This window comes from Homo sapiens, chromosome 2, assembly GCF_000001405.40.
Source record: "Homo sapiens chromosome 2, GRCh38.p14 Primary Assembly".
NCBI classification, from domain to species: domain Eukaryota; kingdom Metazoa; phylum Chordata; class Mammalia; order Primates; family Hominidae; genus Homo; species Homo sapiens.
This window is the reverse complement of record NC_000002.12, coordinates 169,911,306-169,924,795: the sequence shown is the minus strand read 5'-3', so window position 1 is coordinate 169,924,795 and position 13,490 is coordinate 169,911,306. Positions and strand designations below refer to the sequence as shown.

At 37.9% G+C, this 13,490-nt stretch overlaps 1 protein-coding gene across 1 annotated transcript in view; it reads right to left on the bottom strand.

The window, feature by feature from the left end:
* Positions 1 to 13,490, bottom strand: part of UBR3 (ubiquitin protein ligase E3 component n-recognin 3) — a 256,678-nt gene that overhangs the window by 159,336 nt on the left and 83,852 nt on the right. Inside the window, exons 11-13 of the mRNA NM_172070.4 lie at positions 10,650 to 10,736; positions 802 to 867; positions 623 to 712 (exon numbers count right to left, since the gene is read on the bottom strand). Of these exons, the coding sequence (NP_742067.3) occupies positions 623 to 712; positions 802 to 867; positions 10,650 to 10,736 (243 nt within the window). The remainder of the gene's footprint in view (positions 1 to 622; positions 713 to 801; positions 868 to 10,649; positions 10,737 to 13,490) is intronic.

Here is a 13,490-nt window from a genome sequence, read left to right as displayed (position 1 = left end):
CCCAAAGTGCTGGAATTACAGGCGTGAGCCACCACACCTGGCTTCAAGCAGTCATAATTTTATGTTTCCTAACACCCAGAGTTCAAGTTCAATATTATAATAATTAACAAATCTAAAATTGCCAGGAAAAACAAATGGAAGTGCAAGTCCCTCTAATGTATATAAAAAGCTGGCCTGTCAAATTACATTGCTGGTATTAAAAGAAATCACAGTGCTTATATAAGCTAATTCTTCTCTCCTCTTTCTCCTCTCACTATACAGATAGGGAAACTGAGAATCAAGGAGGTGAATTACCTTAAACCTTGCGGAAAATAAAACAGTGGTAGCACCAAGGCTAGAATCTTTTGGATCTCCTGACTCCCAAAACAGTGCTATATAGTATGTTAAATACCACCCCATAAGCAAATATCATGAAAAGAATTCCTGGAAAAAGTAAAACTAAAAAGTAAATCTCATAAAATGAAAAATACCTAAACATAATCTAGCAAAAATACAATAACAACTTTTTAAAAAAAGTTTTCAAACATCTCAGCTATAATAACAATGAAAGGCATATAAATAAAGGAAGAATCACTTAAACAAGGAATCCACTTCAAAACTTTTTAAATGCCTGAATACATACTTGAATTTGGAGTGGGTGAATCATTAGTTTCATTAACATTTCCTGATCTGGTAAAACAGAATCCAAATCTAGTTCTTGACATTTCACAGCCTAAAAATTACAATAAAAAAGTTACTAATTCAATTCTTATTTCTGAAAATTAAAAAAAAAAGAACAGAATTGTTTAATGACAGTCTTACCTTACTCAAAAACATAGCATAGTAACGATGTAGTGGCAGATGAAAAGTGACTTGGTTAGGTGCTGGCTGGAATAAACAAACAAAATGCACAAGTCAAAGACTATTTTATAGAAATTTTAAGATGGTTGTAAAATGTTTAAACCATACTCTCACCTGGATTTATTCCTATACTTTTAGTTCAAAACTTAACATTTTAGAAGATGCAGATTCCAAAATCACTATAGATAAAATTTTTCCATTTTAAACACTTAAGTATAAGTTTCTTGAAGGCAGAAATTGTATTCTACTCAACTTTGAATCCTCTGAAGCATCCAGTACAGATTAATATTTCCTAAATTCAATTCAGCTAAAGCAAATAATTATTATTAAAACAAGGGATGGAATGGATTTCCAGCTACAGTAGACCATTTGGGACTCTTCAAACGCATGTATACCAAACATCATGACAGTAATAACAGTCACATATAACATTCATTGAACACTTCCTATGTGCCAGTCACCATGCTAAGCACTTTATTCACATTACCACATTTAATCCTCAGAAGAATGCTATGGGGTAGGAGCTACTAATATTCTCATTCTACAAGTAGCAAAATTCAAACTTAGAAAACTTAACTAACTTCCTAAAGTTCAAAAGTAGTGAACTGGGGAGCTAATCTGGACTCCACTGTCATATTCAAAACTGTAAGAAGACTCTGACCACATCCCTAAACAGAGGTATAAATGCAGGGCATCGTTAGATTCCTTCACCAGTTAGATAAGATGCTTCCAAACAGTACCAAACGCACCAGCCTCCATAACAAAACTTCATAAAAAATATGTGAATGACCTTAGGCATTCCTGTAAATATTACAAAAACTGTATTTTAAATCTGTGAATCCCATGGATCACAAAATCACTACAGGGCAAAAATACACCACAGCTGTCCTTCTTAAACAAATGAGTTAAGAACTGAAAAGGTATTGTTTGTTTTTAATGCTTTTTAAGTTCTTATTAAATATTCTCTTGTTAAAAATGTTTATCCCGGACATTCAGATAATTATGCTAATGTATATAATTTACATTATAGAGGTTATAAGGAGTCTAAATATGTCACCATCCCTGAAATAATTATTTTTTTCAAAACCAGTAAGATAATAATATCCTCTTCAATATGTAAAGGCTATAAAAATTTGTTCTAATAAATAAAAGTTTGCCCTCCATAAAAAGAAAGGAAAGTCTAACAATGTTCTGTAACATGAATAAACCTTCGGGATATTATGCTAAGTAAAATAAGCCAGTCACAAAAAGACAGTAACTATATGATTCCACCTATATGAGGTTCTTAGAGCAGCCAAATTCGTAGAGATACAAAGTAGAATGGTGGTTGCCAGAAGCTGGGGGAAGAGGAAATGGGGAGTAGCTATTTAATGAGTATAGTTTCAATTTTATGAGATAAAAAAGTTATGGAGATTGGCTGCACGACAATACAAATACACATAACACTACTGAACTATACACTTAAAAATGATTAAGATAGTGAATTTTATGTTTTCTGTGTATTTTACCACAATTAAAAATAAAATTTTAAAAAGTTTGCCCTCCATTACCATAATCGCCTTAGTAACATATTCTACACTAACTAGCTAAGTCAGAATCTCCCTCAATTTCCTTTGAGGCACTAAGCACAGTGGATAAGTGCAGACTCTTTTTTTTTTTTTTTTTTTAAATAGACAGGGTCTCACTCTGTGGCCCAGGGTGGAGTATGGTGGCACGATCACAGTTCGCTGCAACCTCCACCTCCCGGGCTCAAGTCATCCTCCCTCCTCGGCCCCCTGAGCAGCTGGGACTACAGACACACACCACCATGCCTGGCTAATTTCTGTTTTTGGTAGAGACAGGGTTTTTGCCATGTTGCCCAGACTGCTCTCGAACTCCTGGGCTCATGCAATCTGCCCGCCTCAGCCTCCCAAAGGATTGGAATTATAGACGTGAACCACCAGGCCCAGCCTAGGTGCAGACCCTTTTTTTGAGTCTCGCACTGTCCCCCAGACTGGAGTACGGTGGCGCGATCTCAGCTCACTGCAACCTCTGCCTCCCGGGTTCAAGCAATTCTCCTGCCTCAGCCTCCTGAGTAGCTGGGACTACAGGCATGTATTACCACACCGGCTAATTTTTGTATTTTTAGTAGAGACAGGGTTTCACCATGTTGCCCAGGCTGGTCTCAAACACCTGACCTCAAGTGATCCACCTGCCTCGGCCTCCCAAAGTGCTGGGACCAAAGGCGTGAACCACTGTGCCTGCTTCCTAAGTGCAGAATCCTGGTTCTACCACCCAGCTGTAAAACTATGGGCAAGTTACCTCTCTGTGCCTAAGTTGTCTGATCCTTAAAGTAGGAATAATAAAGAGTTTAGTAGCTGCGAGAAATAAGTAAAACAGCACAGTACCCAGTACATATTGCTATTAACTAGTAAGCCATGGACCCTATTTTATCTTTCAGGGCTTTAGCATATCCTATGTTCACATTCTCCATAACGTTAAAGTCCATATTCCTTCCTTGTCTAATGTCACAGACTGGCTACTTGATAAGCACTTCTTCTATTCCTATATATACTGAGAGTCCTTGGATTCCATTCTTCACTCTATAGTCTTCTATGTGAATTTATCCAGATTCACAGCTTCAGCTGCTAACTCTACCCAGATGAGTTCCAAATCTCAGTGGAAATCTCACTCCTGAACTCCAAATCTTACATTCAGGTGTCTACTGAACAGCAATACTTAATATTCCATAGGACCACAAATACAGCGTGTCCAAACCAAACTCAGTATCTTTGCCATAAAACTCAATCCTCCTCAATATTTCTTCTCCAGATTCCCAGTAATTTAAATATGAAATGTAGACTTCCTCCTTCTCACAAGCCTCCTATATTTGATGAGGTATCAAATTATGTTTACTTATTTTTTAAGTATCTCTTAAATCCACTTTCTTCTTTCTGTCTACACTGCACCTAACTAACCTTAGCTCAGGCCCTCAACACCTAGTGCCTAGATTTTAGTGATAACCCCTACTTCTACCATTATCCTGCATAAAACACCTTTTGTGGTGTCTGCCTAGCTCACAACCTTCCCATCTTCTCAGAATGTGTCTCCCTCTCCCACTCTCTGCCACCTCAACCACACACAGAGATTGGGGCCTGACAGTCAAGTTTATAGTAGCCATACTTGACTGGAGGCAGGGCAGGGGACATCTACCCCCGCTTGAGCAATGACTTTCTCTCTTAAAAAATTTGAACTAGGATTCAGAGACATTCACAGACAATCTGGGAGTATGCCTGAAATGGTAACGTTAGGCAACTATAAAAAGGCAGTATTTCACCACATAGGCAAAGCACAGGAAGGGAAGAAAAAATGAGGCACATACACTCAGGGCAAAGCAAAGGCAGGCGACAGGAGTTCCTATTCAGATTTCCAGTCCATCCCTGAGGTCCAGGTGCCCTAACCCTGAGACATCCCTATGTATTCATAATAAATTACTGCTTTTACTTTATTATTATACTTTAAGTTTTAGGGTACATGTGCACAATGTGCAGGTTTGTTACATATGTATACATGTGCCATGTTGGTGTGCTGCACCCATTAACTCTTCATTTAACATTAGGTATATCTCCTAATGCTGTCCCTCTCCCCTCCCTCCACCCCACAACAGGCCCTGGTGTGTGACGTTCCCCTTCCTGTGTCCGTGTGTTCTCATTGTTCAATTCCCACCTATGAGTGAGAACATGCGGTGTTTGGTTTTTTGTCCTTGCAATAGTTTGCTGAGAATGATGGTTTCTAGCTTCATCCATGTCCCTACAAAGGACATGAACTCATCATTTTTTATGGCTGGAATATACACATATTCCATGGCGTATATCTGCCACGTTTTCTTAATCCACTCTATCATTGTTGGACATTTGGGTTGGTTCCAAGTCTTTGCTATTGTGAATAGTGCCGCTATAAACATACGTGTGCATGTGTCTTTATAGAGGCATGATTTATAACCCTTTGGGTATATACCCAGTCATGGGATGGCTGGGTCAAATGGTATTTCTAGTTCTAGATCCCTGAGGAATCGCCACACTGACTTCCACAATGGTTGAACTAGTTTACAGTCCCACCAACAGTGTAAAAGTGTTCCTATTTCTCCACATCCTCTCCAGCACCTGTTGTTTCCTGACTTTTTAATGACTGCCATTCTAACTGGTGTGAGATGGTATCTAATTGTGGTTTTGATTTGCATTTCTCTGATGGCCAGTGATGATGAGCATTTTTTCATGTGTCTTTTGGCTGCATAAATGTCTTCTTTTGAGAAGTGTCTGTTCATATCCTTTGCCCACTTTTTGATGGGGTTGTTTGCTTTTTTCTTGTAAGTTTGTTTAAGTTCATTGTAGATTCTGGATGAACCTTTGTCAGATGAGTAGACTGCAAAAATTTTCTCCCATTCTGTAGGTTGCCTGTTCACTCTGATCGTAGTTTCTTCTGCTGTCCAGAAGCTCTTTAGTTTAATTAGATCCCATTTGTCAATTTTGGCTTTTGTTGCCATTGCTTTTGGTGTTTTAGACATGAAATTACTGCTTCTTTAACTCAGGCTGCTTTAAATTATTTTTTCCCCTTGCATTAAAAGAACCTTGACTAACATATCTCCTATTACCCTCTATATGCTGCCAGAAGGTAGTCTTACTTAAACATTAATTTAACCTTGAACTTCTTCCACTCACAATCTTTTAATGACTCCCTATGGTTTTAGCCTCCTGATAACCTTCCAATTCCTAAGAAGAAAGAGCTTACCTCTCCAGCCTCATCTTCTGTCACATAAATTCATGCACCATAGGTAGTATCCCTAACTTACTAAGCTTCTGTGCCTTTGTATACACTATTCCCCCTGCCGCAAATGCTATATATCCCTTCTCCCACTGGATTACTGTATCTTTAAGACTTTGCTCAGTTGACACTTCTACTAAGAAGCTTTTCTTGGGTTCTTCAGGCTAAATCAGGTGCTCCCTTTTATGGTCCCACATAGCACCTGGTCACAACTTTACAGAAGCACAGGAATCAAATTAACCATATACTTGTTTTCCACTTCCTTAAGTCAGGGACTGTTTTATCACTGTATCCCCTATGTTTACAACATAGTAAACATTCAATAAATATTTGCTGGATGAATGCACGTTCTACTTTCCTCTTACCAGAGGACTCTAGCCAAACCCACCCTGCTACAAACTCACAATTGTTGCCCTACATGATATTCATGTTTTTAAGAACTCTTAAATGGCCTATCTTATAGGAAAATGTATTCCATCTCCTGTTTCTATATGATTGTTTGATCTGGCTTACTTCAGTTCAAAACATATTATTGGCCAGGCACAATGGCTCACACCTGTAATCTCAACACTTTGGGAGGCCCAGGCAGGAGAATCACCTGAGCCCAAGTGTTCAAGACCAGCCTGGGCAAGATGGCGAGACCCTGTCTTAAAAAAAAAAAAAAAAATTATTTGCTTGATTTGTACTAGATTACCATAATAACTTCTGACATCCACCCACAAGGATGGAAGAAGAACTAATGTTTATCACACATGTAATATGTGCCTCTTAGTCAATCCTCACTGGTTAATATTATCACCTTCAATAGATGAGGAAATAGGCTCAGCAGTGTTAAAAAAAAAAAAAAAGTAAAAATATATTAACAATTAAACTTAAAAAAATCTGTCCAAGGCCACATAGCTAGTTGAATTATGGCAGAGCCACAATTTACACTCAGATCTGCCTACGTTAAAGCTCTTTCCACTGCCAACAACCAATACAGTTAAAACATTACCAGACAAGGAGTTCCAAAATGAGGACTGTGGACCCAGAAGTACCATAACTTGCTACATAACAATAGGCAAGTCATTTAATATCTCTGCATCTCCACTTCCCAATGACAAAAAAAGGAGGAATAATAAAACCTTTAAGCACCATATAAAAACATGACATGGACCCAGCACAGTGGCTCGTGCCTGTCATCCCAGAACTTTGGGAGGCCGAGGTGGGTGGATCACCTGAGGTCAAAAGTTCGAGACCAGCCTGGCTGACATGGTGAAACCCCATCTCTACTAAAAATACAAAAATTAGCTGGGTGTGGTGGCACACGCCTGTAGTCCCAGTTACTCAGGAGACTGAGGCAGGAGAATCGCTTGAACCCAGGAGGTGGAGGTTGCAGTGAGCCAAGATTGTGTCATTGCACCCCAGCCTGGGCAACAAGAGCAAAAACTCCATCTCGAAAAAAATAATAAATAAATAAATAACATATTATTTGATTCTTTAAGTTCTATACTTAATTTCTCTTCTTTTAAGAATCCATTTAAATTTTTGATAACATTCAATATCTTCCTAAAAATATTTCTGTGTGAAAAACAGATACACTATTTCCTAGAGTTCAGCTGCTCTGTATGTCATACATGATTCTAACTGTCCTTCACTACACTCATGATTCCAAGCATGATTAATTTAAATATCATTTTCTTGTGTATAATTTTCTCCCAGTTCAATCTTACTGTTGTCTTACTGATGCTACTATTTCAACAATAATTCCTGAAGTTTCAAATACCAAAGAAAACTGGATTGAGAAAAGCTTCAGTTAAAGCTCCAGCTGAGGGACTGACCCTGGACAGGGTGAAGAAGGAGGGAAGCAGGTTGGAAGTGGGATGGTGCTCCGTGAAGGCTGGACAATGTTCTCTCTGAAGACTGACTCATTACCATTTGCATAAACAAAATTTAAGCCTAAAGACCAACAATTAGACAAGGCAAAGAATCAAGGTGAGTTGGTCAGGGCAGAATCAAAATCCAAATGTACAAAATCTAGGTTGAAGGCTAAGAGCTGACACAAATGTTGGGGGAGGGGTAATGAGGGGTAAAGAAAAATTAATTCAGGGCAGGAGGGATTAGAATTAAAGATAACAAAGGGTTCTTCCCTTCCTAAACCATTCCTAAAGCCACTGGGAGGTAAAGAGAGGGAGCAGGGTAAAAATAAGCATCTAAAGGTTAGGAAACTGAGAGGGAAGTCAGAGCTCAGACTGAGGAGGGCAACTGCTGGGGTAATTGAGGGGTTGAGATGTTGGGGGTTGCTCAGGCATAGGGGGTGTGGCCTAGCATAGGGCATCAGATGTGGACAGAGTCAGAGGGGACCCACACAGCAGGGCAGACCAGTGTAGAGCATCAGAGCCAATCTGGGTGAGGAGGGCCTCCAAATGGGGACTGACCTGGCATGGGGAATCAAAGCCTGACTGAGGTAAGGAGGGCAACAATACAGGGGGCCAGCCTGGAATAGGGAATCAAAATCCAAGCTGGGTAAGGAGATTATCCACATGTGCAAAGAGCAGGAGGCATCAGAGCCAAGGCAGAATGAGGAGGGCATCCAAAAAGAGGAGGAGTCTGGTGCGGGAGTTTCAAGCACGAAGAGGGTGAACAGGGCTTCTCCACAGAAGGGCAGTCCAAAGTGGGGGTCAGAGCCCAGGCAGGATGAGGAGGGTGTCCACGTGTGGGAAAAGGGGGAATAGGATGAGGACTCAGAGTCAAAGCAGAGAAAAGAGGGCATCCATGCAGGGGAAAGAGAGGCAACTGAGATGAGAGTTGCTTCTCATATTTATATATGAGATTGGTCATACATAAATATGTATTTATAGATAAGTAAATATATTAAAGATAATGGAAGCCAGGTTTCCCACTGTTGAAGAAAACTAGAATAACTCCTACAGTGTTAAACTGGAATTAAAAATATCAGTTTGAACTCACAGCTTTCACTATAGACAGAAAAATATAGATGCAAATATGTATATGTACTTATGTACATATACTCCTCTGTTCACTGTGAAGTCCTGGGAGCAGTGATACCCCAATAGCAATGAGCACAAGCAGCACCTAGATTTTTCTAAATACTGTTCCACACTAAAAGTAACCAGGGATCCATAAAGAAATGATTGATTCCAGAAATGGGTGGGGAAACTATGAGTCTGAAACATCCTGATGGGCCAGAAAACATGGAAGTTCTCAAAAAATGATGGGACAAGCAGAAACTAAGCTTAAAGGGGCTCTCATTGGCCAAATCTGAAATAATCTGAGCATCAAATAGTAACAGCAATAGCTTATAACCCATTGAATAAAATAGAAACTATGAATCTCTAGAGACAAAAATAAATGAATGAATTGAAAACTGGATCACAAAATACTTTATTAATTAAATGAGAAAAAGGGTAATTTTATGATGAAGGAGTCTAGCAGGTACCACCCTAATCAAGTGATCAAAGGGAACATCATTAGTAAAGAACACAAATCACAAACTACCAGATAGGATGCAATGAAAAGACTACATCACTTCCATAATATTCCTGAAAAAGATACATAATCTGAATCTAATCATGAAACAAACCCAAATTGAGAGGCATTCTTCAAAATGTCACTGTCCTGGCCAGGAGCAGTGGCTCACACTGGTAATCCCAGCACTTTGGGAGGCTGAGGCGGGTGAATCACCTGAGGTCAGGAGTTCCAGGCCAGCCTGGCCAACATGGTGAAACTCCGTCCCTACTAAAAATACAAAAAAATCAGCTGGGTGCGGTGGCACATACCTGTAATCCCAGCTACTCGGGAGGCTGAGACAGGAGAATTGTTTGAACCTGGGAGGCAGAGGTTGCAGTGAGCCAAGATTGTGCCACTGCACTCCAGCCTGGGGAACAGAGTGAGACTCTGTCTCAAAAAAAAAAAAGTCACTGTCCTAAAATGCAAAGAAAGACTGGGAAAATGTCCCAGAAGGAGATTAGAGACATGATAACAAAATGCAATTCTGAACCAGATCCTTTTTCTATAAAAGGTATCATGGGACAACTGGTAAAACATGAATGAGTTATAAGAATTAAATGTTAATAATATATTAATGATTTTTATAGTTGCATTCTGGCTATATAAGAAAATATCCTTGTTTGTAGGAAACACTGAAATGCATGGGGGTAGTGAGGCATCAAGTCAACAACTGAACTCTCAAATCGTTCAAGAATAGAAAGTTCTTTGTCCACTCAACTTTTCAATAAATTTGTGATTGTGTCAAAAATTTTTTAAACAGAAAGGAAAAAAAACACACACACACACACACACACACAAGAGATAAAATTTGCCTGCCCTCCACATATACACACAAACACACAGCAACGGTTCTGTGTGCCCAGGTTCAGAAATCAGATAAAGTGGGGGTGAGCTGTCTGAAACATGGTCTTTCTTTTGCATATGGCATATTCTGACCCTACTTCATAGGAGGAATAAAAGGAGCTTCTGATGGTAAACTTGGCCAACGAATAAAAGCAATTACTTGTTCAATTCATACATACCATGTCCTGTGCCAGCTCTTCTCATTATTAACACTAATCACCTTTGTTCAAGTCCATCTTTTCCTACTCTGACAAACAGAACACTGTCCAATTAATAGAGTTGTATGATACCCTTTTCATTAATCTCCCCTATCCTATTCACATTTGCATTGTCACTTTTATATATTCAACTGAAACTATTTCACCCTGAGAAATAATGAGACACATATACTTAATAATGGAAAAACAAATCATGCCACTCTTCTGTAGGAAATAAGCAGACATATTAGTGCGCTCCAGAATCTCCTAAATGTCAAAGAACTAAAGAACTAGTCTCCCCTTTAGATTTCTTTTTCAAAGCCTAATAATATGTTCATTACTTCCTTCCCTCGCCTATGAAAAAGTATTCATTATTTTCAACATTAAATGAAATCTAACACTTTTCTTAAATGTCTTTACATACATCAAAAAATTTACATACATCAAAAATATACATACCTCGTCTACGAAGTTAATAGCATCAAACCAGTCTTGAAGAGCTTCAAGGCAATATCTAACAACATTTCGGGTATACTCTTGAGTTTCCTAAAATAGTAAGTTATATATAATAAATTTATGATATATAAACATATATTTTCAACATTAAATTATATGTAATTATATGCATTGTGTATATATAAAATGGTAAAATGTATAGATTTTAAGATTATATTTGCCATTTCAAGAAACTCTCCCTTCATAAACAACCAGTGACAAATATGAAAATTAAGTAAGTCAATACGCTTCCTTTTTTACAATACATTTCTAAAAATGAATGAAAGCAGAAATAGATTTTAAATAGATTTAAATCAGACTCCATTTCAAGAGACACCCCCCCCAATTTATTATAAATTCCCTAATGTCATTGTTTAATGGGTACAGAGTTTCTTTGGGGCTGACAAAAAAGTATTGGACATGGATAGTAGCGACAGTTGTACAACTCTGTAAATGTACTTCAAGTCACTGAATTTTACAGCTAAAAATAGTTAGTGGTAAATGTTATATGTATTTTACACAATTAAAAAGAAAGGGCAGAGCATATGTGGACTGTAAGTAACCTGTGAATACCTTGACTTACAACAGAATTTGGGAGAAGAAATGATGTGTGTACCACTTGAAATAAAAGTACTGTAAAAGACAACTACAATGTTTTGTGGTAAAACAGATCCACCAAAATAGGCGAGTTCTAAATTAAACAGAAATAGAAATAATGATAGGCTTGCTTACCAAAAACAAAAAAAAAAACAAAAAACAAACAAACAAAAAAAAACAGGCAAAGGATTTAAAAAGACATTTCTTCCAAGAAAATACGCAAATGACTAATAAGCACATACAAAGATGCTCAACATCATAGGAAAATGCAAATCAAAGCCACAATGAGATACCAATTCACACCAACTAGAGAGGCTGTAATTTTAAAAACATAAAACAGAAAGTGTTAGGAAGGATGTAGAGAAATTGGAATCCTCATATATTGCTGATGAGACTGTAAAATGGTACAGCTGCTTGGAAAAATTGTTTGCAGCTGGGCACAGTGGCTCATGCCTATAATGGCAACACTTTGGGAGGCCAAGTCAGAAGGATCACTTGAGGCCAGGAGTTCAAGACTAGCTGGGACACAGCAAGTCTCTGTCTCTGCGAAAAAATTTTAAAATTAGTCAAGAGTGGTGGCGTGCATTTATAGTCCTATCTACTTGGGAGGGAGGCTGAGGTGGAAGGGCTGCTTGAGCCCAGGATTTTAAGGATGCAATGAGCTATGATCATGCTACTGCACTCCAGCATGGGCAACACAGTGAGACCCTATCTCAAAAAGAAAAAAAAAAGCTTGGCAGTTCTTTGGTAAGTTAAATATAGAGTTACCATAAGACCAAGCAATTCCATTCCTATGTATATTTCCAGAAAATTGAAAATATATGTTCACACAAAAAATGTATATAAACATTCACAGAAGTATTATTCATAGCAGCCAAAAAGTAGAATCAACCCAAATATCTATCAATTGATTAAAGGACAAATGAAATGTTGTATATCCATACAATGAAATATTAGCCAGACAAAGGAATGAAGTACTGATACATGCTACAACACAGCTGAACCTTGAAAACATTACATTGAGTGAAAGAAGTCAGACACAAAAGGCCACATATTATAGGATTCCATTTATATGAAATGTCCAAACTAGGTAGATTTATAAAGGTTGAAAGAAGATTAGTGGTTTCCAAGAGATGAGGGGAGGTTGGAATTGGGAGGTATGCAATTTCTTTTGGGGGTGATGGAAATACTCTGGAATTAGATAGTGGTAGTAGTGGTAAACTTTGTGAATACACTATAAACCACTGAATAGTATACACTTTAAAATGGTTAAATGGTGAATTTTATCTCCTTTTTTAAGTTAAAAACAGATATTTTGGGGCATCACGTATAATGTGTAAGTGCAGAAAGCATCAAATCCACGTGAGTTAAACTCATCAGCTACCTATGTAAATTATATAAATATGCCTTTTTAAAAAGCTGAAAGTCTCACATTCATTCTTGACTTCTCCTTCACCTTACTCATCTCCATGTCCTGTCAATTCTTGCTTGATATTATAATATAGCTTCATGCTTATTTCCATTGCCACAATCCAGACCGAAATCACTTACCTGGTCACCTTACTAACATTCTCATCCTGTTTTAATCTATGCTATATGAGATTTGTCTTTATAAAATAGTATTTGATACATTCTATTCCATACCTCTCATTGAAAACAAATTAATGGCACTTATAAGTTATCATAAATAATCTGTCACAACCAAACTAAAGTAGCAGGTAACTCACAGATAAATAAACTTTTAAAACCGAAAGTTCTCCTATTTCATCAAGCATTTGGGCAATGAGGTACCATTACATGCTCTTAGCGCAAGTGTAAACTGGTACCACCCTTCTGGAGAACAATTTGACAAGTAGGTACTAAGACTCTTTAAAAAGGTGACAAGTCAATTCCATTCACAAATACAGCATATTTAATAATCATGTTCTGATTGTCTCTCTCCTATTTTCCCACTACTACCACCCCTCAACCCCCAAAAAAGTCAGTATGCATGCTAACTTACTAGTTTTATGACCTTGAGCAAATTACTTAAATTTTATGAGTCTCAGTTTCTCCACATGTAAAAATAAGCATAATACAACCTACTTCCCAGTACTGTTCTGAAGAGGCAAGTGAAATGATGTACATAAAATGCTCTGTATCATAGGTTAACACTATGTCTGACAAATAGTTAAGTGCTCTGAAGAGTCAAGACCACATTAATCTTCT